At 52.8% G+C, this 23,101-nt stretch overlaps 1 protein-coding gene across 1 annotated transcript in view, besides 2 other annotated features; it reads right to left on the bottom strand.

Annotated features, from left to right (window-relative positions):
- Nucleotides 563-642: an enhancer, noted in NCBI's record as "active region_26594". NCBI's record gives its function as "activates an Ori minimal core promoter by ATAC-STARR-seq in GM12878 lymphoblastoid cells {active_cell/tissue: GM12878}" and the evidence as "EXISTENCE:reporter gene assay evidence [ECO:0000049][PMID:35858748]".
- Nucleotides 4,999-5,836: an enhancer, noted in NCBI's record as "H3K27ac-H3K4me1 hESC enhancer chr7:127743251-127744088 (GRCh37/hg19 assembly coordinates)". NCBI's record gives its function as "activates a minimal SCP1, AML or CMV promoter by ChIP-STARR-seq in naive H9 embryonic stem cells {active_cell/tissue: H9 hESC(naive)}" and the evidence as "EXISTENCE:reporter gene assay evidence [ECO:0000049][PMID:30033119]".
- SND1 (staphylococcal nuclease and tudor domain containing 1) overlaps nt 16,442-23,101 on the bottom strand; it is a 440,400-nt gene continuing 433,740 nt past the window's right edge. Inside the window, exons 21-24 of the mRNA NM_014390.4 lie at nt 21,984-22,097; nt 19,343-19,546; nt 17,154-17,198; nt 16,442-17,042 (exon numbers count right to left, since the gene is read on the bottom strand). Coding sequence (NP_055205.2) covers nt 16,977-17,042; nt 17,154-17,198; nt 19,343-19,546; nt 21,984-22,097 — 429 coding nt within the window. The 3' untranslated portion in view covers nt 16,442-16,976. The remainder of the gene's footprint in view (nt 17,043-17,153; nt 17,199-19,342; nt 19,547-21,983; nt 22,098-23,101) is intronic.

Below are 23,101 nucleotides of genomic sequence, written 5' to 3'. Positions count from 1 at the left end.
TTCTAAAGTGTTTTGGTTTGTAAGAGTGCAAAATGGTGTGTGTGTGTGTGCATGCGTATGCGTTTGTTGCCTGTGAGTGCTATTTTTAACCTATTTGAGTGGTTCAGAATTACAAATCTCACTTCTGTCTTCCTCTTTCTACTCAGCTCTGCTTTGAACTCTTGCATGCTCTATGTGAACCACAGTTTCCTTCCTGCTACTGAGTCCCATGGTTTGCTTCTGTTGCATCTTACCCAACCAGTCTCCCTGGAGTGGGCCCTCCATCTCCCACCACCTCAAGGAATATTGCTATAGATGTCCTACCCCGTCCTTTTATGAGAGCATGTGAGGAATTTGCGGGGGGTACATGTCAAAAAGAGACATGCAGAACCTCAGGGTGGGCATGTTCCGCACTTGCGTCAGGACTGCCATCTCACCTGCCTCCAACCCATCTACATGGCCTCATGGAATTCTTTTCCACTGTATCATGCAGGCTCCCTAGCTGTGAAACAGAGCACAGTGTCATGTAAGATTGTCAAAGCTGACACTGAGTATAGGTTGTGGTGAGCCAAAAATGTGCGATGAGAAAACCTACAAAGTTGCACTATAGAGACATAAAAATTACAGCCATTGGTGTACTGTTCTATTTTTGCCAAATGACCAGATTGTTTGATCATTCCCAATCTGTGCCTATGCTGGCAGGCTCCCGTTTGCACATCCAGATTGGCCCTCCACCCTGCTCTCTGCCCTGCAGGCAGATCTGACTGGGTGGCACCAGCAGACTCCCTCCATCTCTGGCTTCTGGTTGGTGATGGCTATGGAGAGGCACTGGCAGGGGACGAGGGAGCAGTATGGAGAGGCGCTGGCAGGGGACGAGGGAGCAGTATGGAGAGGCGCTGGCAGGGGACGAGGGAGCAGTATGGAGAGGCGCTGGCAGGGGACGAGGGAGCAGTATGGAGAGGCGCTGGCAGGGGACGAGGGAGCAGTATGGAGAGGCGCTGGCAGGGGACGAGGGAGCAGTATGGAGAGGCGCTGGCAGGGGACGAGGGAGCAGTATGGAGAGGCGCTGGCAGGGGACGAGGGAGCAGTATGGAGAGGCGCTGGCAGGGGACGAGGGAGCAGTATGGAGAGGCGCTGGCAGGGGACGAGGGAGCAGTATGGAGAGGTGCTGGCAGGGGTGAGGGAGCAGTATGGAGAGGTGCTGGCAGGGGTGAGGGAGCAGTATGGAGAGGCATTGGCAGGGGTGAGGGAGCATTATGGAGAGGCGCTGGCAGGGGATGAGGGAGCGCTGGCAGGGGATGAGGGAGCAGTATGGAGAGGCACTGGCAGGGGTGAGGGAGCAGTATGGAGAGGCACTGGCAGGGGTGAGGGAGCAGTATGGAGAGGCGCTGGCAGGGGACGAGGGAGCAGTATGGAGAGGCGCTGGCAGGGGACGAGGGAGCAGTATGGAGAGGCGCTGGCAGGGGACGAGGGAGCAGTATGGAGAGGCGCTGGCAGGGGCGAGGGAGCAGTATGGAGAGGCGCTGGCAGGGGTAAGGGAGCAGGAGAGGAGAGCAGGGCTTTACTCCCCTGGCTCCTTTCTCCCCTCAAAACGTGTCTCATTCACTTAGGCCTTCTTTGCTCAACTTTTCAGGTGACAGCAAGCCAGGTCAGCTGCCTGATGGCCCTCATGCAGCTCCTCTCAAAGGGTGCCATTAACTGTGTCCAGTCTCTGCTACTTCAGGCCTCTGGGTGGTAACCACTGCTCTCTCTTGCTGGCCCCGGGTACTGTACCATCTCTTGTTGATTTCCCTAAACTCTGCCCATATGCTTTTGTGCATATTCCTTTATTGAATGGAATGTGTTGTGTTTCCTGCTGGACCCCTGACTGATGATATAGTATCTGATATGTTAAAGGAATACATAAAATGATGGGCCAGACTACATAATATTTAAGGACAGTTTTGGCACTAACATTCAGTGTCTGAGGACAGCTACCACGTCCTGTAATATGCCTGTCTCAGTGCTCCAATCAGAAACATGACCTGGGCTGGCACCTCCCCTCTAGGACACACTTGTCTTCAAACCTTCCCCTGTGTCACCTGCCTGCCTCCAGAGTACAGTGCCACACTCCCCCCCACCCCAAACTCCTCCTCTGTGGCCCTTCAGCTCCCTGGATTGACCTTTGCCAGAGCTTTTCCCTTCCCTGCCTGCATCATGACTGTTACAAAATTGTGACAGGGTCCCAGGCTCCCAGCACAGTGCCTGGCCCATAGCAGATCCTTGGTGTTTATGGAGTGCTTGCTGGCCCTAAGATATTTTCTCTGAGCCCACCAGGATCTTCCCTGGCCCAATGGAGACAGTGACCAGCATCTGTCTGGTACCTCAGCCACCCTGTCCTGGACCCATGGCTTGTTCTACCTTGGGGAAGAAGCCAATGACAGAAGCTGGAAGATGTGGTTGGAAGATCCCAGGGTGGGGGTGGGGGCGTGGTTGGTGGGTGGTTGGTGGGCTGACACTTTAATTGCATAATTATTTCCCCAAAGACACTGGTGCTGGGGAAGATAAGGCCTGCTGCCTGCAGGATGGATGGTGTGAAGATGGGTGAGCTATATTTTCCCAGATAAAAGCACCGATTGCCTATAAACTCTGATTCTGCCTGATGTAAAAGCCACTTTATTGCACATCCAGAAATTACAACCCGTATAAAAGCACATTATTGTGATGTAAAAATAGATTTTTATATAATTTTTTCATGCCACCACCTTGTAATTCCTCATTTCCGAGCACCCTGAGATTGCACTGAGGTTTTTCTCTTTTAATTGTTTGCCATGGCATGCCAATTTATGGTAAGATATTCTCCCTGAGATCAGAGTGGGGCCAGGGCATAAATATCAGCCATGACTTCATGGCAGGCATGGTTGTGGGACACCCGAAATGCCATCAAACAACATCAGATTCCATGTGATGTCACAGATTGGGGTGGTGAGGGCTCTAGTTTTATATTCACCTGAAGCCTTCCAGGAGGGGCTCCGTCCCCTCCCTTCCGACCTGAGGGAAGGTGCAGTGTATCTCTAAGTGTCTGGCCCCTGCCTGTAGGAATGCAGCCAAGGAAAGCTGGGCTCTGGGCTCTACTTAAGCCCCACTGGCCTGATCCATCTGGCTTATGTGGCTGCCCCTAGTTCCTTCGTTGTATGGGAAGGACCCCATAAAGCTTCCCTTTCAGAACGTTGACCTTTTCCACATTTAATCTCTTTGCCTTGGTTTCCTTCCAGGCAGACAGCCATAGAAGCCCTTACTTTGGAAGAGAGGAATGAATTTCCTCTCCTGCAGAAAGCCCTTCTCCTTGGTTACCCACCCAGTCAGGATAGCTCACTGCTGCAAAGAGCAAGATCCCATCTGTCTGGCCTTCCAGAGACTCCGTCATCACTTACTGGGGGCAGAGGAGGGTCACTTTCCTGTTCTTGCACTTTGAAAGGTAGGTGCTTTGAGTGCAGCAGCACGGGCCAAACCAGGCAGCTTCTCCCCACTCCCCACTCCGGGGTAACCCTTGGCCGCCATTAGCTAACCTGCCGGCTGGCACCTGGGGCCTCCTTTCCAGGTCCTGATTCCCAGGTCTGCACTAGACCAAGCTGGAGTACCTCTGCCTGCCATCCCAAAGCTAGTGGACAGTGTCTCAGAGTGCACGGCGGTGGGGCTCACAGCCTGGTGCTTTGCGGGTGTCTCTCCCACTGGCAATGCTGGGTGGGCCAGGTGAAGAATGAATGGATGAAAGAATGTTTAGATCAGTGGCTCGCAAACTTTAGTGTGCATGGGAATCATCTGCTGGGCTCCACAGAGTTTCTGTTCAGTAGATCTGGGGTGGGGCCCCCAAATTCGCATTTTTTTTTTTGAGACGGAGTCTCGCTCTGTCGCCCAGGCTGGAGTGCAGTGGCGGGATCTCGGCTCACTGCAAGCTCCGCCTCCCGGGTTCACGCCATTCTCCTGCCTCAGCCTCCCAAGTAGCTGGGACTACAGGCGCCCGCCACTACGCCCGGCTAATTTTTTGTATTTTTAGTAGAGACGGGGTTTCACCGTTTTAGCCGGGATGGTCTCGATCTCCTGACCTCGTGATCCGCCCGCCTCGGCCTCCCAAAGTGCTGGGATTACAGGCGTGAGCCACCGCGCCCGGCCCAAATTCTCATTTTTAACAAGTTCCCAAGAGATGCTGATGCTGCTGTTCTGGGACCGGTACTTTGAGCACCACTAGCTCAGATTATCTGTGTCTCTGTCACCCGGATGAAGGGAGCGGATTATTGAGTTGTGTGCAGTGTAGACTAACAGGAGATGGAGAGCAATCCGATGACTGTATCACCGTTCCTGAGACAAGGGCGGGAAGTATGGGGGCAGGGGGAGAGTAAGAACAGGCGGTCAGAAGTCCCCAGAGACCTGCGGAGGGAGGGACTGGTAGAGGAACAAGGAGACTAAGCTCCGGACGGTGAAGCAATGGGACTCTTTGCAGCTGGGGTGGCGGGAGAGCCGGTGACCCCAGGGAGTCTGGGCTTCCAGCATCCGGAGGCTGCAGTCTGGGCCTCCGCGTCTCCGAGCGCCCGAGGCTGCCCCCGCGAAGTTAAGCGGTCTCGTGGGGGTGGGCTGCGCCGCGTCGCACGGAACCCGCCTCCTGGACGCACCCTGAAGAGGCCCGGAGACCTCCCGGGATTGCTGCCATCTCCAGCTGCAGCCCGGCCCGGTCTGCGAGCGTTGAGGGGCCCAGCCCGGTGCAGCGCCCCCGATCCTGGCGCTCCTTTCAGCTCCAAGGGGCGCGCACGCAGCCCAGGAACCGCGATCGCTCAGCCAGCCGCGGCTCCGAGCTCCGCGATTTCAGCCGCGCGGTCGGGCTCTTGAGTGTATGCGTCGAGGGGGGCCCCTCTGCAGCTGCGCTGGGGGCCGAAGCGGGGCACAGGGGGCAGGAGGCTGCGGGCCGAGGGCGCGTTGCCGAGAGCCAGACCCCGGGTTCCAAACCCCGCCCTGCAAAGAATGAGCTCTCCGACCTTGGCCAAGTCGCTTCCTTTCCTCGGCTCAGTTTCTTCATCTGTAAAATGGGGGTGGGGACGATGATCTCCGTTTCTGAGGCTCTGAGGATCTAGGACGTGGAAGGCACAGAGAAGCTCCTGCACTAACCATTCCGGGATCCCCTGACCTTTGCTTGCAACCCGGAAGAGGGTGACCTTGGAAGAACCGCCTCTCGCCCTCCGTCCTTGGCTGCCTCCCCCATAGGCAGCATCCGCACTGCCCGCGCTCGGCTCCACAGCCGCTCACCGCCCGGCCTCTCCTGGGCCTCAGGGGACGCCGTTTCCGGGCCACGGGCGTGGTTGCCGGATCGGAGTCCCACCTCGGTTTGCGACCTTGGACCAGGGTACGACCCTGGACCACAGCAACCTGGCCGCAGGATACAGCGTGTGATGTGCTTGGCACAGAGCCCGGCACAAGGGGAGAGCTCGGTGGATAAGGCCAATTGGAGAACGGAGGCCTGCCCCGCCTCCACTCAGCGCAGCGGACGGATCTAGCGTTTTTTAAAAAGAACTAGGGGCCGGGCGCTGTGGCTCATGCCTGTAATCCCGGCACTTTGGGATACCGAGGCGGGAGTATCACGAGGTCAGGAGATCGAGACCATCCTGGCCAAAGTGGTGAAACTCCGTCTATACTAAAATACAAAAAATTAGCCTGGCGTGGTGGCGCACGCCTGTAGTCCCAGCTACCCAGGAGGCTACTCAGGAGGCTGAGGCTTGAACTCAGCAGGCGGAGGTGGCAGTGAGCCGAGATCGCGCCACTGCACTCCAACCTGGCAACAGAGTAAGACTCCGTCTCAATAAAAAAAAAATAATAATAAAAATAAATAAATAAAAAAAAGTAGGGAAGCATCAACCTGGAGCAATTGAGCTTAAGGACTGCTCTTTTCCAACAAGTAAAGGCTGGCCACAGGTTCCCAGGCCTCCGTTCAGATCAAGCCCTGCCTGGGCCTGGTGGGGAGGTGAGGAAGAACGGCCTCCAATCCTGGGACTTCAACTTTCTCTGCCTGTCTCTGGGTGGGACCCCATGCCCTCTGCCAGGACTCAGCTGCACTTTTAGTCATTCACTCATAAATCATTTATTGAATACTTGCAAGTCATGGACTCTAGGCCTGTCTTCCAGAGGATATCTGTAAAACCGGGGGAAGGGTCCTTCCCTGATAAGACTACCCATAAAGTGCTTAGCCCTTGTGGGAGCACACAGATCTTGAGCTGCTGCTGACATCATGATCATTTTGGAGGTGTACAGTCTAGAGAGCCTACACTCCAGAGCTTAGCTCTGCCTGCACTCTATGTTGGCCCTGGAGCTCCTAGAGCAGAGATTCTTCACCAGCCTCAGCCCCAGCCCCTCTCCTCAGGCAGCTTCTCCTGCAGAGCTGTGCCAGGGTCTGGCTCTTTCCCTTATATTTCTGGCTTTAGGTAGCATGAGTCTTGTTTGCTCCCTGCCTCCAAACTCAGGCCTTGGTCAGACCTCCCAGGAGCCCTCTGTGGGAACCAGGTGGGCTTCTCTACCTACTACCTCCTGCTGGTAGCCTCTGGCCTGAAAGGGCTGGGGAGGGGATAGCTCCTCAGGGTGGTCCTTTGGCCCAAAGCACCTCCTGGGAGCCGGTTAGAAATGCAGATTCTTGGCCCTGCCCCATACTTACTGAAGGAGAATGTGCATTCTAACAAGATCCCCAGATGATTCACAAGCAAGTTAAAGTTTGAGAAGCGCTGCTCCAGGGCCTGCTGGCCTGGAAGGCACCAGAGGAAAATGGAAGCTTGGTCTTCAGGAAATGCCCAAGGAGCCACCTCCAGGTTCAGGGCCTTAACTCTTCCTGCTTCTGGAGAACTCTCTTGTCCCTGCCTTTAGGGGCCTCTCCCTCTCCCCAAGAAAAGTGGTCTCACTGAAGTTTACCAGGTTCAAGTATCTGCAGATAGTATCAGGGGACTTGACTGGCTCAGCTGTGGGTCCCTTGTGCCCAGCAGAGAGTAGGTGTTTAACTCTGCTTATGAACTGCAAAACAGTATTTGCAATTGGAACACGATAGCAGTAACGAGGTAAGAACTGATTTGGGCGCCACTTCCTTGAGAGGGAGTTTCCAGCCCTCTCTGCAAGCAGAAGTGGATACTTGCGTCAAGGATGCTGTGGAAGTGCCCCCTACTTTGATGTAGTAAGATTCCTGAACCCTCTTCCCATGAAAGCACTGACACAGGATGGCAAATATATGGGACACACATGACCATCCCCCTTTCCCACACCCTTGGTAGACATTAATAATTGATTACAGCTGACTTTCTGGCATGACCTTAGAATCCTTGACTACAGGGCACCCCAGGGAGCCACTATCAATTGATCAGACATGGCACTATTTGTGATCTCTGCCTCGGGTCTCCCCCCTGGGAGCTGCCCTCTACAGATCAGGCCAGATGAGACAAGGCCGCCAGGCTAGTTCCCAAGGACATCCTCCTCCCTGCAAACCCGAGTGCCTGTGCGACTGCACCTTGTGAAGCCCCCTCTGGAAACGGCCCTCCCCAGCTGTTGAGTAAAGTGCAGCTTCAGATCTGTCTTTGCCCACACGGGTCCTTCTCACTAGGGGTCAAGGTCATGTAAGTGGCTCATCATGGTGGCCTCTGTGCAGCTCCTCACACCCTGTGTAACTTGGAATCAGGCACCCACCTCTTCTGGTTTGTCACCCTGTCAAATGGGAATGTCCCCAACTGTCATGCACTGTGTGCCACTCACACAGTGGACATGAGGACGGCCTAGGAGGTGCCCCCACATCAGTGCTAATACTTCCTGCCTGGCATGATGCCCTTCGCCTGACTCTGGAGGGCTCCCTCTGCATAGCTCTGCTCCCTGGGAACCTGAGACTAGTGTTTCCCTGTTCACAGCCAGTGAGGCCTATGTGCTGGAGTCGAGGCAGGAGTGCAGCTGTGATACTGGCTGCTCCCCCTGCATCCAGGCCCCAGTAAACTCCATCTCGGGGCTTCCCATGGTGGGTGGGGTGCACTGCAGCATCCTGCCCCCTAGCACTGCCCCTGCTCCACCCCACTCCCTGCCCATGGTCCACTCAGCCCCAGCACAGGACTTTCTCCAGAACTACACCCACATCAGCAGGGAGGAGTCATTTTCTGCTGCTGGTTTTCAGGTCTGTGAATCAGAACTGGCTCCTCCAAGAGGCATCTACACACACACACACACACACACACACACACAAACACACACACACACCCCAACCCCTACCACTAACTTCCTTCTGCTGTCTAAATCCAGATTTCAGGTCTGAGGCAAAGTGTCTATGTGTAAGTTTTGGCTAGGCATGGTGTCCTCCATGCCAGGTGAGTATGGGCATATGTCCTCTCCCTAGTCCATGCAGCCAGGAGCTCTGTGCTGTTTGCTTCTGTAACTTCAGCACCCAAATGGTGCCTGGCACGACAGGTACTCAGTGCACATGCGCTGAACACCTTAGCTACAGGACTAGTTCCACGCCAGCAAGGTGAAGGGATGGAACCCCCTGCCCTGGGTGTGCATGACTCCTGCTTCCCATCACTCCACAACTGGACAGCCAGAGACTCAGCCCAGTCATCTCAGCCTCCCCACCCCCCACCTCCTGACACCTTGACTCCCTTCTGGCCTCAACCCCACAATGCTCTCAAGAGCAGAGAGGTTATTCCATGCCTGCACCCTCCTCCCTGGGTGATAACAGCAAACACTGAACACAGAATCTGTGCTGGGCCCTGTGTAAAGTGCTTTACAAATCTCACTGAATTCCTTTTTTATTTTTTTAATTAAAAAAAAAGTAGAGCTGGGGTCTCACTATGTTACCCAGGCTGGTCTTAAATGCCTAGGCTCAAGCGATCCTCCCGCCTTGGTCTCCCAGTGCTGGGACTACAGGCTTGAGCCACCGCGCCTGGCCTCTGAATTCTTTTATTAACCTTACGATGTAGGAATTTTTATCTTTTATTCTTCAGTCTACAGATGAGGGAACCGCCTCAGAAAGGTTAATTAGCCCACTTGGGGCACTCGGCTAGCGTGCGGCACGCTAGGACTCAAGCTCAGCCCGTCTGCCTTCAGAACCAACCATATCCTCCACCACTGACTCCTTGAGATCAATCTCATGGCCAAGTTCTTGACCAGCACCAACTTGGCCTGATAATTATTAGTCTGTCTGACATCTATCTATCTATTGATTCAGTCTCTGAACTCAGCCTATGGTTCTGCTTCTTTGAAACCCAAACTCCTTACCCACTGGTCAGGTCCTGTCCTGAGCATGTGTTAGGACAGGCTGGAGGGAGGTGGCCAACTCAGGCTTGGTTGTTTCTGCAGTGGGCTGGAGGGCGGACTTGGCTCCATCAATACCATTTCCTCTACTGTGACATCTCTGAGGCTGAGACTGCTGACCACAGGTGAGTCAAGCATGTAAACGCATTGTGAAGCCAAACAGAAGTATCATTTAGAATAACCGTAAGTAGCTTTGGCCTCATTTTGTTCTACGTAATTGAGAACACAAAATGTTAACACCACAGGATCTGTCTTAGACCTGTGGCATTCACGTGGCTGCAGGAGAGTGAGATCTGCCCAAGTGGAGGGGGAGCTGGCCTATCTCCCAGGCCCAGATGACTCCTATAGATTGAAGCTGCCTGCTCACTGAATTGCATCAGTATCACCTGATCCATAGCAGTGACTGGGCCCAGGGCCTAGAATGACTCGATTGAGCTGGGATAATAGGTCTGTATTGCCTGGCTAGACACAGCCAAGGCCCTCAAGCAGCAGGGTGAGGGACCCTTGTCTCCTGCTGGCCTTGCCTAAGGTTCTGAGGCAGCTGTGAAGAGGTTGGGGGGGTAGGGGCTCTGAAGCCCCTATCCTACCTTGTGTCAATTCAAGCCCCAGGCACAGGCACTCTGGCAAAGATACCTAGAGATTGTAAGGTCCCATCATGTCGTCAGGACTATTTCAGGGAAAAAATGTCCTTTAAAAGACCCTGGCACCAAGAACAGCCCAAACTATGGTGATAGGGGTAAAAGTTGTTGCTTTCAGGGATGCTGATGTTCTACAGTCGATCCAAATGGTAGCTTCACTATATATATTCGCAAAAATCCACATATGCTTAAGATCTGTGCACTTCCCGTAACTTACACTTTAATCTGAAGTGAGCAGGGTACCTTGAAGTCAGTGTCTCGTGCAGGCCTGGTCAGCTCTCCCTGTCCTGGATGGCTGCTTTTTCCCAAAAGGGTGGGGCTTCAGCTGGTCAGTGCCCAGGGCTGGTGAGAACAAAGTCCCTAGTTTTGTGGCCACACGCTAGACTTGGAATGCAGAGAGCCTTCTGAGAAGAGCCCCACCAGCCATGAGAGGGCTTTGCTCAGTGAGTTCCCTCAACCAGACCCATTGTTTATCAGGTAAACTGTTGAAGTTGTCACCCTGTCCTCAAAACCTTCCTCACCTCCCTGGAAGAGCTTTCTCCTTTGAGTTCCTACACTTTATTAATTTAATAATGTAATAGCCATCTATAGACCCACCTCCCAGACCAACACACAGAACATTCCCAGTCACTTATGTCTCCCCAGCATCCTTCCTTATCTCACCCCTGGGGTCCGCTGCCCCACCTGGAGGTGACCACCATCCAGATTTCTGTGTTTATCATCCCTTTGCTTTTATGTTTTATATACATATATGTGGGGTGTCCACATGTCCCAGTTTACTGGAGATAGTGTCAACTTACACTTGCAGTCCAAATGTCAGAATTTGTGTTCCTTTTTGCTCGCAAAAACATCCCTATTTGGACAATAAATTAAATGATCACCTAGATACATGTATATCTAAGCAACGTATTTTTGGTTTTGAGCTTTAGAATAATGGTATTATATGATATGAAGTTCTCTGAGATGTGCTTTATTCATTCAACATTATTTCTGAGATTTATCCTTGCTTTGTGTGGCTACAGTTCATTTTCATTGCTGAGTAATATTCCATTGTGTGAATACCTTGCCATGCCTGTAGTGTCTCATTTCTGTTTGTAGGAACAAAGCTGCAGTGCCCATTCTTGCATATGGGTCCTGGTGGTTTTTTTGCTTTTTTTTTGAGACGGAGTCTCACTCTGTTGCCCAGGCTGGAGTGCAGTGGCGCGATCTAGGCTCACTGCAAGCTCCGCCTCCCGGGTTCACGCCATTCTCCTGCCTCAGCCTCCCGAGTAGCTGGGACTACAGGTGCCCGCCACCAGGCCTGGCTAGTTTTTTTGTATTTTTAGTAGAGACGGGGTTTCACCGTGTTAGCCAGGAAGATCTTGATCTCCTGACCTCATGATCCGCCCGCCTCGGCCTCCCAAAGTGCTGGGATTACAGGCGCGAGCCACCGCGCCAGCCGGTGGGTTGTTCTTAACACATGCAAATAGCCCCTGGCCACAGAACCAGGAGGAAATTGCTGGGTGATGGGGCATGGCCACTGTCAACTCCACAAGCTAAGGCCACAGCATTTGTACATACATCAATTACATCAATTAGGTCTTTCTATCACCAACATCTGTTCTCAGTATACTGTGAGCCCCACGAGGCCAAAGATAACTCTCCCTTTTTCTCCCAGCCCTTAGAACAGTGCCTGGAGCAGCTCAGGAAATGCTAAATGCCTGAATGTTCAGGGGCTATGGATGGCTCAGGGCAGACTCATTCCCATCCTGGGGAAAGAAACCTCAAAGATGTTGCTGCTGGCAGAGCCACAGGAGCAGCCCCATTTTTGCATGTGCTGGTTCCTGCAATGGATCTGCAGAAATCCAGGGCACTGTCAACATGCAGTGGTTAGAAATATCTGCCTGCTTGAGGGCTCTGGGCCCGTGACAGGAGTCACTCCTCCGCCCTGTGCAACGACACCCTAGCCTCCTTTGTCTGAACTGGGACCCCAGCTCACCCTGCAGGCCCCCGAGGGCCAGGCCTGCTGGGATGGATACCCTCCAAGGCGAAAGCCATGACGGAGAGAAAAATCATAGGCCTGGGGCCGGGAGATCTGTTTTCTATTCCTGGCCCTGCCATTAATAAACTGGGTGACCTTGGGCAAGTCACTTTGTCTCCCTTCTCATCCTATAAAATGAGTTTGGACAGTGATAGCCAATTCTTGAACTTGAGAACTCATCAGAATCGCCTAGGAAACTTGTTAAAGTGGATCCCCAGGCCCCACCCCACGGGGATTGGGGTAGTAGGTCTGGAGTGGCACTTAGATACATGTATATTTACATGACAATGAATTTAAAAAGACCACTGAAAACACTCACAAATGGTTAGAAAATTCAATAGTAGAGATTATAATAAAAAGCAGCGCTTCCCATCCCTAGTGTGCTACCTACAGGCAACCACTTTTAATCATGTTTTTGATCTGATGGTTACTATCTTATTGCTAAATAATAAGCTAGTTCTTGTTTTATCAACTTCAGACATTACCCATTGTCTTCCTGCTATGACAGATGAGGAGGACTCAGCTCACTTACCCCCCCACCACTCCTAATATAGTTCTGGCACTATTTTTGGAAGCTGTATTTTAACGAGCACCCCAGGTGATTCTGATGTAGTTGGCCTGCCAGCCACACTTAGTGCCTAGTGAGAGCTGGTGGCGACACCAAAGTGCCCATGGCCCATTTCTGAAGCCCCTGGTTCTGCTTGGCTTCTGGACTTGCTGGTAGGCCCTGTCCCTACCTGTGGAGGCTCAGAAAGGCTGGGCACAGGGGTCACACAGACAAGCACACTGTTCTGGGATTGTTGGGGACGGAACTGCCTTGCCCCGTCATCTTGCTTCCCCTTCTCATCTCATGTCACCTTCTGCCCCCAGTTGCATCATTAGGATGAGCAGATTTCTCCTTTAGGGCCTGACACAGCCCTAGCAGACAGCTCAATGTCTGACTTCTAATAATCAAGGAGTGGTGTATTCATACAATGGACCACACAAAATGCACAAGCTAAAATGAACCTAACCACGCAGATGAATCTCACAGGTGTGCTGGGTGGAAGACATCAGGCACATAAGAATACATATGGTTTGAGTCCCCTTATGTAAAATGTAAAGCCACGCAAACCAAGAAAAACAAATCAACATAAAAACATAACAAACAAAATAGGCCAAAATCATCTACTGGGATAGAAGTCAAGAGGGGTTACTTTTGGGGGTGAGAGCGGCTATGGAGGGGTGCATGAGGGGCTGCTGATGCTTTTTGGTGTGTGTGCTGTTTATGTGGGTAATGTTCACTTTGTATTTGAGCGGTACCCTTTTCATTTGTGCACCTTTTCGAATGTGTCTATTTCCTTATAAATGTTACCTCCCTTACAGGAATGAAGACAAACCAAGCAGCTCTCCTTCCTCCCTCCTAAACTCCCCCTTAAACAAGCCCTTCCCGGAATAGGACCAGGCAGGCTGAGGAGGCCAGAAACATCCCTGTGTGGTAGACTGGGGTTGGGGAGGTGGGTTTGGGGCTGGAGCCCAGAGACCTGATCCTGCCAGTCTTGATGTATTCCAGAGTTCCAGCCTGGTGCCCCACAGAGCAAAGCTGCCTGCTGGGTCAAGGAAGTGGCTGGAAATGAGGCCCAAGCATGTTACATGGGAAGGATGACAAGATACTCGCCAGCCAGGACCCATGTGCCTTCTTCCCCACCTGCTCACAGCCAAGCTGTCCAGGGAGAAGGTGGTGTATGGGCCCCCAGTCCGCCTCCACAGGCTGCTGGCCAACCTAGTGTAAATATTATTACACTCCTACGCATCTGAAGGACGTTAATTATTAAAACACATGCCACCCAGGGTAGTGCACTGTAATTAGGTTCAAATTAAATTAGCATCCTCTTGTAATTAGGACATCAATAACCACTCTTGAGGCACCAGCTTTCTAGCCCATCCCCATTGCTTCCCAATATGGGCTAATGCAAAAAACGGGGTCCACTCTCTCCCCAGGACGCAAAAATAATCAAACCAATAAATAAAATGGAGGCAGTCACGGGAGCCCTTCTCTCCACTGCCCGCCTTCGCTACTAATCCTGTCCACCAGCAAGAGGAGGGAGATGAGGTCGCTGCGGAGGAGTCTCAGCCACCAATACTTCCCTGGTGGCTTTCCCAAGCCCTGGGCTCTGCTGCATCCACCCTCGGAGACCAGGAGACTCCTCAAGCTGCCCAGAGATAAGCGATGCCTTCCCACCATCTGCTAGCCCCAGCTCTTCTCCTTTCCTCTGGGAAACTTCCCAGCCACCTGGGCCAGGGCCTCTGTCCCTTAAAGTCCCAGGGCACCACCCACTGCTGTGGCTTGTTATAGATAGCATGCATCTGCTGCCTCCTCGAGAGCCCAGAGAGATGACCTTGGCACTCACTGGACCCAACACTGTGCTTGGCACTATCTGGGTCTTAATCCCTGCTTGGAGGAAGCCTAAATGGATGGATAACAGGTGCTCAAGAGACTTCACTATTCAACAGGAAAGGTGGATGGAGAAGCAGAACCCACAATCCTGAGGCCAAGGTGCAATTTTTATAACTCAGGGGGAGTGGGAGGAACCTGTGGAGAGCTTTTTCTGGCTACTGGTGCAAGGGCTGGTGCTGAGTGGACAGCTACAGATGAAAATAGAACATGCCAATGTGTGCGCACTCTGTGAGTGCCTCCTTCAAATCTGCACCCTTGGCGCGTGGCTTGCCTCACCCTGGTCCCAGCCCTATCCAGGTCACACCTCAGGAACTTGGCAGATGTGATACCGAGAGAAACACCAAGTTGGGGTCAAAACCAGACAAGCTGCGGTAGCGCCTTCCTGCCTGGTGACTGATCTGACCTTTGTCTCAACCAGCCTTGGCAGAGAAAAAACTCAGAAGTGGGAAGGCTCAGGCATAATTTCAATTGGAAAACTAAGGAGGGTTTATCCTTGGGTGCAGATGTAACCAAGGCAACTGTGAAGACCGTGAGATGATTTCAGACCCTTTCACAAAAGAGTGGGCTGGCATCTTGCCCTCTGCCGATTGTGTTCACTGTGAATACACATCGCACCCTACCAGAAGCACCTTGGAGGTCAAGAAATAAGTGAGATGGGCATTCTCTTCTTGATGGATAAAAATAAAATCAGAGACCATGGTGAGAGTGTGCTTCTCTGCTGGGGGCAGGACAGCTTCTCCAGGAGTGGGGATGATGAAGAGATTCACACCAAGTCATCATCCACACCCCTCCTGACTTCCTGGGCCCCCTAAGGGGCTGCATGTAGTCAAGGGAAGCACAGTTTACTGGACCATAAAGGGTCTGATTCAGACAGTGTAAGCGCTTGTTCTGGCTAAGCCGGAGGCGCTGCAAGTAGAAACTGTGAGTCCCCACGAGGACCAAGGGAAACTAGTGTTTCTGGAGTTGAACTGACTCAACATTTCTCCCCATGGCCCCTCCCTGGCTCTTCCTACCCTCACCTAACTATAGCGCACCTTGAGTATAAGCAGCACACATGAGAACCCCGTAAGAGCCCTGGCCAGAACAAGTGTGTGTTACGGCAGGACCTCCAGCTGAGGAATGAGATCCAGCCAGCCAGGCCCTACCACCTCCACTGACTGTCCCTGTAGCCCCCAAGATCAAAGGGTCAATTTTATATGGCAGCTTGGAGCATCACCCCAGATCAGAATGTTGGTGGGATGTGGGGCTGTCAGAAAGACGTGCCACCAAGTTTCACCAAAGTATGTGCCAGGGAGGGGCGGGGGCACACAGGTAATGCCGTCAGTGGAGGAATAATGAGGCGCTGGACACCATGGGTGTGGGGAGTGGTGACTCTCACACTTGACTTTCTCTCCCCGGGACTCCTGGCCTCACACCACCATGGCTCCTCCCTCATGGGCTACACGCAGCCTGAGGATTCTGAGCTCCAGGGCCAGTTCTACCTGAGGACTTTTGGGGAGAGCTTATCAAGTCAGACATGAGCAATGGCTAACCTGGAGCAGACAGGCCTCTCACCTGGGACCTGGGTCCCTCTTGGAGAAGCCGGCCCTCCTAGCTCTGTTCTCCGGAGAGGAACCAGGGGGCCTGCGTTCTAACCCACTCTATCCCAGACACAGCAGGAATTAGGGAAATCACCTCATTGCTCTCAGCTGATTCCTTTTGAATCCTTTCTTGGGGATCTGGCAGGGTCTGCCTAAGGCCAGACCCAGCAATTCACAGTGGGTAAATTGTCCTGGGTGCTGCTGGCCAAGCTGCTGTAACTCTCTAAGGTCCTTGAAAACAGCCATGTGCAAGAAGTCAAAAAAGACCTGTAGCCTCCTGCATGATGGCCATGGTGCCAAGTGGTGCCCACTGGGTCCAGGAGTTGCTTGCTCAGACTCTGAAGATCTGCCTTGCTTTCCCCAGCTGGCTCTATTTCTAGGGAGAATGTCCAGGCATTTGGATGACTATCTTGGGGGTCATTCAAGTGTCCAGGTCTCCTCCTGGGTGAAGCTGCCAAGACTCCATGCTCTGGACCACACTGTGATCAATAAGGGCTGCAGACAGCACGTACTATTTTATTGGGCCTCAAAAGCTTTAAATACAGAATGGGCTGGCCAGAGCGAAGATGTGAACACACTGGCATTTGAGAATGGACGTATCAGAAAAATCACATAATCAACAGTTGGACAGAGAGCTGGGACGAGGGCAGTCTGGGATAGAGGCAGGTGCCAGCTGGCGGCCAGCCTGGGTGTTAGGATTACTCCCTCCACTAGGACATAGTCTTTGATGTTTCTTCCTGATTTGAGGACTTTTTTTTTTTAAAAAAAGCCCACAAACCTCCAAATAAAACCAACTGGCAGAGACTGTGGATAGCAGTGCCCATCATCCCAGAGGACAAGGGTCTGCCCCAGAAAGCCTTGGGGTCCCCACCCCGCAGCCCCGATGCCACCCCACGAGACATTTCCACACACTGAAGCAAAGCTGGACCCAATCTACAACCCCTCTCTGGGGTTTGGAGTTGAAAACACCCTCCCGGCAGAGGAAGAGGGACTGGCGTGAGCGGGGCTGGGGGCCAAACCCGATCCCCTCCTTAGCGGCTGTAGCCAAATTCGTCTGCATCATCAGCTCGAAAGTCTCCATAGCGCCACAGGTTCAGCTGTAAGAAAAAACAGACAATAGCTCTTCAGGGATACGGGACCCACCGGAACTCAGAGGGCCAAACCCCTCAACTCGGTACCCTCTGGGGGCTCCCAAGGTAAGAACTCACCCTGGCGCTCTTGGCTGACTCTTGGGCATTCAGGTATTCTGTGATCTGGAGGGACGAGAGAAGAAAGGGAGTGGTCAGAGTTGCCCTCAAATGATCAGCCAGCAGGACCCTGCAGAATGCTTAGGTAAGCGCCAGAGCTCTCCCTTGCTCAAGCCTGTCCAATGGAGCCTTAGTTCCCTCAGAGTAAAACGGAAAACACAATCACATTAGTCTCCTGGCTTTTCCCTTAACTCTTCGCACTAGCTCTTCTGTCTGCCTGGAACGCTCCTCTGGTCACGTCCTCCTGGCTACCTCTCCCACCTGCTTCAGTCTGTGATAAAGTATCTCCCTCTTAATGAGGTCTCGGGCAACCCCATTTAAAATTACAACCTAGGCCAGGTGTGGTGGCTCATGCCTATAATTGCTGCACTTTGGGAGGCCAAGGCAGGAGGATCACTTGAGCCCAGGAGTTCAAGACCAGGCTGACCCCATCTCTATTAAAAAAAAAAAAAAATTAGCCAGGCATGGTGGCCCATGAATGTCTGTAGTCTCAGTACTTGGCAGGCTGAGGTGGGAGGATCACTTGGGCCAGGGAGTTGAAGGCTGCAGTGAGTCGTGATTCCGGCACTGTGCCATTGTACTCCAGACCCGGTCTCAAAAGAAACCAAACCAAACAAGAGCAATACAAATACAACCTTCCCCTCCCATTCCTGACTCCCTGGATTCCACTTCTATTTTTCACTGCAGTTATCATCTTCTAATATCCTATTTAATTTACTTATTATGTTCATTGTAATTGTTGTCTCCTCATGCTTGAATGTAAGCTTCTCAGGGCAGGGGTGCTGTTTCTTGCTCACTGATATACTGTAGGCCCTCAATAAATGTCTGCTGATAGAATGAATAAATAAATGAGCATGTTAGGTGTTTATCTCAGGGACTGCGGCAGAAGGAATTTTCTAGATAGCAGGGGCATTATGGGCAGTTTCATATGGGGTACAATAAGATCTCCAATTCTATAGGGAGGCTGAAGCTGACCTCCTAGGAGCCATCTCCTAAGGAAAGTGGGGGTCTATCCAGAGGGGCTTAGGGGTCGGGCTTCTCTTGAGACACAGCGGCAGTCCACAGGGGTGTCTTGTTCCAGTGAGTCGTCAGCCTGCACAGCCACCGACACATTATGTGGGCTTGCGGTGTGGTGGGGAGAGAGGAAAGGCCAGGAGGGCTGGGAGAAGGGAGAGCAGTGGGCGAATGGAAGAGAGATGAAGAGGAGGAAAGTGTTTGGTTTTCATGCCCCGCCTTTCTTGCCCCTGTCTCTGAAGGAACATAGGGAGAAGCTGGCCACATCCTGCTGCCCTCTCATCACTTTCTGCCAGGAGACGGCAGCTCTGTCGGGGGCCCGAGCTTCCCCAAGTCTGGCCCTCTTGGATGGTTCGCTGATTCAGCCCAGCTGGGACGCAGGGCTGGTCTGCAATAGGGCCTCAGTGGCTGCTTGGTGAAAGGGTAGAGAGGGACTCAGAAATGTATAGTGTTGGGTGGAAGGGGCTGCCTTGTATCCAGAGCCCAAAGCTAATCACCAAAGGCTGCTCAGTGCAAGCTGTTTCTCAGGTACGAGCGCACTGATTGTCACGATCAGCCCTGAGAAGTGGCAAGGCAGCTAGTCCTCCCCTCACTTCATAAGCAGGGAGATGGGGCTCAGGAGGCTGGCTTCTCCTCTCAGAACAGTGGAGGCAGGACTCCAAGTCCAAGGGGCTTTCCAAATAGCCAGAGGGTTGTGTGGCAGTCTTTCTGGGCCCTTTGGTGCTGCCTCCTCGACAGCTCTGGCTCGGGGTGGCACTGGGTGTTAGGAGTTGGTTATTGACTTGGAAGCTGTCTGTTGGACAGTGAGACTGGGAGAGCGGGAGGGACAGGCCTTGACCCTCTCCACATAGCCCCTGGCAAAGCTTTCTCGCCTGTCACCTGGGGGTACATGGGGAGGGAAGCTTTCCGCTCTAGTTTGCAGCTGCATTCTCAGCCAAACCCGCAGCCAATTAATTTGGGATGTAATTAGCTTTAAAACAAAAACAAAAAAACACCAACAAACCCAAATCCATTATCTTTCCTCAGCAGGAACAGCAGGATGGTGGATTCCCTGCTCCCTTCCTGGCTTGTGGAACAGTCCCTTTCTCTGTGAGGGTGGTGGCGCAATGCTGGGGCCGCCTCTCCACATCACATACCACTTTCTGGAACTGTTTCTCCTTGCGCACCTCCACCATGACCAGCCCTTCCTTCACCAAGCCCAGCCCCACATCGCCCTTGGAATCTGCAAACTGCAGGGTGACATGGGGGCAGCCGGCACTCAGGTGTTCCACGTTGAGCAGGCACTGAGTGTTCTGGATATCCCGAACTACGCTGTCCACGGCGTCCGTGCGGGCATCATCCTGGAGCAGAGACACACTCAGGTCAGAGCAAGCCAGAGAACAACCACTTGGGCCCCAGCTCCTGTCCATAGACTCCCAAGAAAGTCTGGCCAGCAGGGGCCTGTAATTTTCTCCCCAGAGAACCCTAGTGAGGTTGGCCAGGCACGGTGGCTCATGCCTGTAATCCCAGCACTTTGGGAGGCTGAGGTGGGTGGACCCCTTGAGGCCAGGAGTTGGCGACCAGCCTGGCCAACACAGTGAAACCCCATCTCTACCAAAAACACAAAAATTAGCTGGGCATGGGGTGCATGCCTGTAATCCCAGCTACTTGGGAAACTGCGGCACGAGAATCGCTTGAAGCTAGGAGGCGGAGGCTGCAGTGAGCCAATATTGCGCCACTGCACTCCTGCCTGGGTGACAGAGTGAGACTTGGCCTCAAAAAAATACCAAAAAAACAAAAAAACACAAACCAGAAAGAACCCTAGTGAGGCAGAAACAGGCTCTGGATAGGAAGCCTTCCCCTTTTCTTTTCCTTGCCCTCAGCCAGAGACTATTTGCAAGTGACCCCTTTCTTTCCTACCCTGTGCTCCCACCCACCTGCCCTGTGTCTCCGAGAAAAAGTGACTTCTTCCCACTCAAAGCTCACCTACACTTGGTGCCCTTTCACTTCCTTCCTCCAGCAGGACCTTGCTCCAGTGCACTATGTCCATGACATCCTGTGTCTCTGTCTTTTTTTTTTTTAAAGAGACAGGGACTAGGCCAGGTGTGGTGGCTCATGCCTGTAATCCCAGCACTTTGGGAGGCCGAGGTGGGTGGGTGACCTGAGGTCAGGAGTTCAAGACCAGCCTGGCCAACATGGTGAAACCCTGTCTCTACTGAAAATACAAAAATTAGCTGGGCGTGGTGGCGGGCACTTATAATCCCAGCTACTCGGAAGGCTGAGGTGGGAGAATCACTTCAACCTGGGAGGGAGAGGTTGCAGTGAGCCGAGATTGTGCCACTGCACTCTAGCCTGGGTGACAAAGCAAGAATTCATCTCAAAAAAAAAAAAAAAAAAAAAAAAGAGAGATAGGGACTGGCCAGAGTGCAGTGGTGTCATCATCTCACTGCAACCTTGAACTTGTGGGCTCGAGCGATCCTCTCACCGCAGTCTCCTGAATAGCTGGGACTAGCTGGGAGTACAGGCGTGTGCCACCACACCCAGCTATTTTTTTTTTTTTTTTTTTTTTTAGAGACAGGGTCTTGCTATGTTGCCCAGGGTGGTTTTGAACACCTGGGCTCAAGCAGTCCTCCCTGCTTGGCCTCCTATGCTGGGATTACAGGCGTGAGCCACTGCACCTGACTCCACATGTCTGTCTTCACCGACGTGTTTTGTGATACTTGCCTTCAGCATTTTCTGTTGCATCTCTCCTGACCTTCAGCAACTTTGTGAAAAGGTAAAGAGTAAATTTGCTTATTCTTCATTTGCACCCTTTATCTGGTGACAGTGCCAACCATGGTGATCACGCAGCTCTCACTCCAGGTACCAGGCACCTTCTCAAAGCTAAAGCCAAGGGCAGCCCCTGGGAAGCCTCAACCTGCCTGAGCTCCCGGGGGATCTGGACATTGTAGACTGGCTTTCTGTTTCTGGGGATAGAGGGTATCCACGACCCTCAGCATGGGTTCTCTCCTTTCTGGCTGCATATGCTGCCTCTGGGCTCCTGTTCTCAGATGGCAGGACCCCAGCACTTCCTAACACTCTCTCTCCTCCCCATCACACCTTCCACATACTCAATCTGGGCAATCTTGTACACCGCATGGTTTTAACTACACAGACCCATAAATTCCAGGTCTCATCTCACTCCCCAACTGAAAACTGTAAGGCTGCCTGGAGGTCCCACTGCCCAAATTCGCTCCTTCTCATTCTTCTTGGCCAACAGCAACACATCCACACATAAGAAACCCAGCACCACCTTTGTCTCTAGCCTGGACTGTTACAATTGTCTCCCACCCATTCATTCTAGTCCCTCTGTTCACTGTGCCATCAGAACTAACTTTCAGAAACACACTGGACCATGTCACACTTCTCCTAGAAATGGTGCCACATTCCTCCTGCCTATACAGCACAAAGAATAAACTCCTTGCCAGGGTAGACAACCCCACGACACCAAGCCCTTTCCCACCTCACCTCCTGCCACTGCCTGATCACCTCCTGCCACTGCCCAAAAGCCCCCTGGGATCCAGCTGTGGTGGTCTAGTCTTTGTCCAAATGCACCCTGGCCTACCTGCTTCTATGAACTAGCTGGAATGCTCTAATACTACCTCCTCGGTGGCATCTTCCTCAACTTCCCATCTCTTGAGTACTATTACTAAGAGACCATCATAGTTTCCATCTTCTCCTGTCAGCCCATGAGGGCTGCTGCAGCGGCTAAGTGTCAGTGGATAGTCCCCTTTGGAAGGAGGAAGACTCCAGACTCACATCTTGGGGCACCTGGATGAAGGCGAAGGCATACTCCGTGGCTTGAGCTGGCAGCACCCGAGTGCTGAAGGCAGGTGATAGGGTACCCAGGCGGGTGGATGGCAGGACCTCTCTCTGCAGAGGAAGCAGCAGGCCAACATGTCACATACTCGCTGCCCCCTTGCTCTCTCACAGGACAGCTCTCTGTGGCCAGGCCTCTGGGAATGCTAACTCTGGGCCACCCTGTTCATCCCATGACTTGGTTCCACTTTGCAATGTACAAAGGCTCCCCAGTGGGTGAAGCCTGGAGAGAACGTGCCCTGCTGGTCCAGCAGTAGATGGGGAGCTCACTCTGGGCCTGGTGCTGGCACACCTAGTGGTTCCCATGAAAACAATCGCAGTATAACTGGACTCTAATCGCTTTTCCATTTCCTCCCAATGCCCTTCTGTCTGTGACATGGGTTCCCTGACTACGTTCCCACAGGCCAGGGGGTTCTCCAGCTGCTGGCTAGGGGAGCACACCAAGACAAGTATCCCTGTGGTCACCGGGCCTGCCTGTGGTTCTGGCCCAGGCATCTGGGTTCACCCTTGTCTGGCAGGACCTCTTCCTTTGTGTATTCCCAGGAGATGGGTTGGGAGCATGGCCCAACTCTGGGCTCTCTACTAACAGATCCTCAGTCCTAGTACTTGAGGAAGGCATGGGAGGTACGCAGACAAGCAGTGCCATGACTCAGGAGCGTCACCCTCCTGAATGACAGTTTTCTCACCAGCTGGCTGCTGTTCCTCAAGAGAATCTCCCAGGAGTTGTCAACAGACTCCCAGGCCCAGCCGGAGAAATTTTTCTCCCAAGGGTGCCAGTCAGTCACTGTCACCTTGTGACTGTCCCTTCCCAGCAAACCTGAGTTTGGGGATGTGCCGGGGATTAGCGCATGGAACAAACACCCAGTTTGGCTTGAACACCAGGAACTGTGGGTGTAAAGGCCCTCCATGTGCTACAGAGGCCCTGCCCCCATTCTGCAGAGACCTCAGGCAGAAGAGGAACTGTGGGTGTGGCTGGACACTCATCCGTGGGGTCTGGATGCGGGACCTATCAGTGCTTGCAGCCACTGGTCATAGACCCCAGTTTTGCCAGGTCACTG

The sequence above is a fragment of the Homo sapiens genome, chromosome 7 (assembly GCF_000001405.40).
Source record: "Homo sapiens chromosome 7, GRCh38.p14 Primary Assembly".
In the NCBI taxonomy this organism is placed as follows: domain Eukaryota; kingdom Metazoa; phylum Chordata; class Mammalia; order Primates; family Hominidae; genus Homo; species Homo sapiens.
Note: the sequence above shows the minus strand (reverse complement) of the source record. Positions and strands in the feature narration are given on the sequence as shown.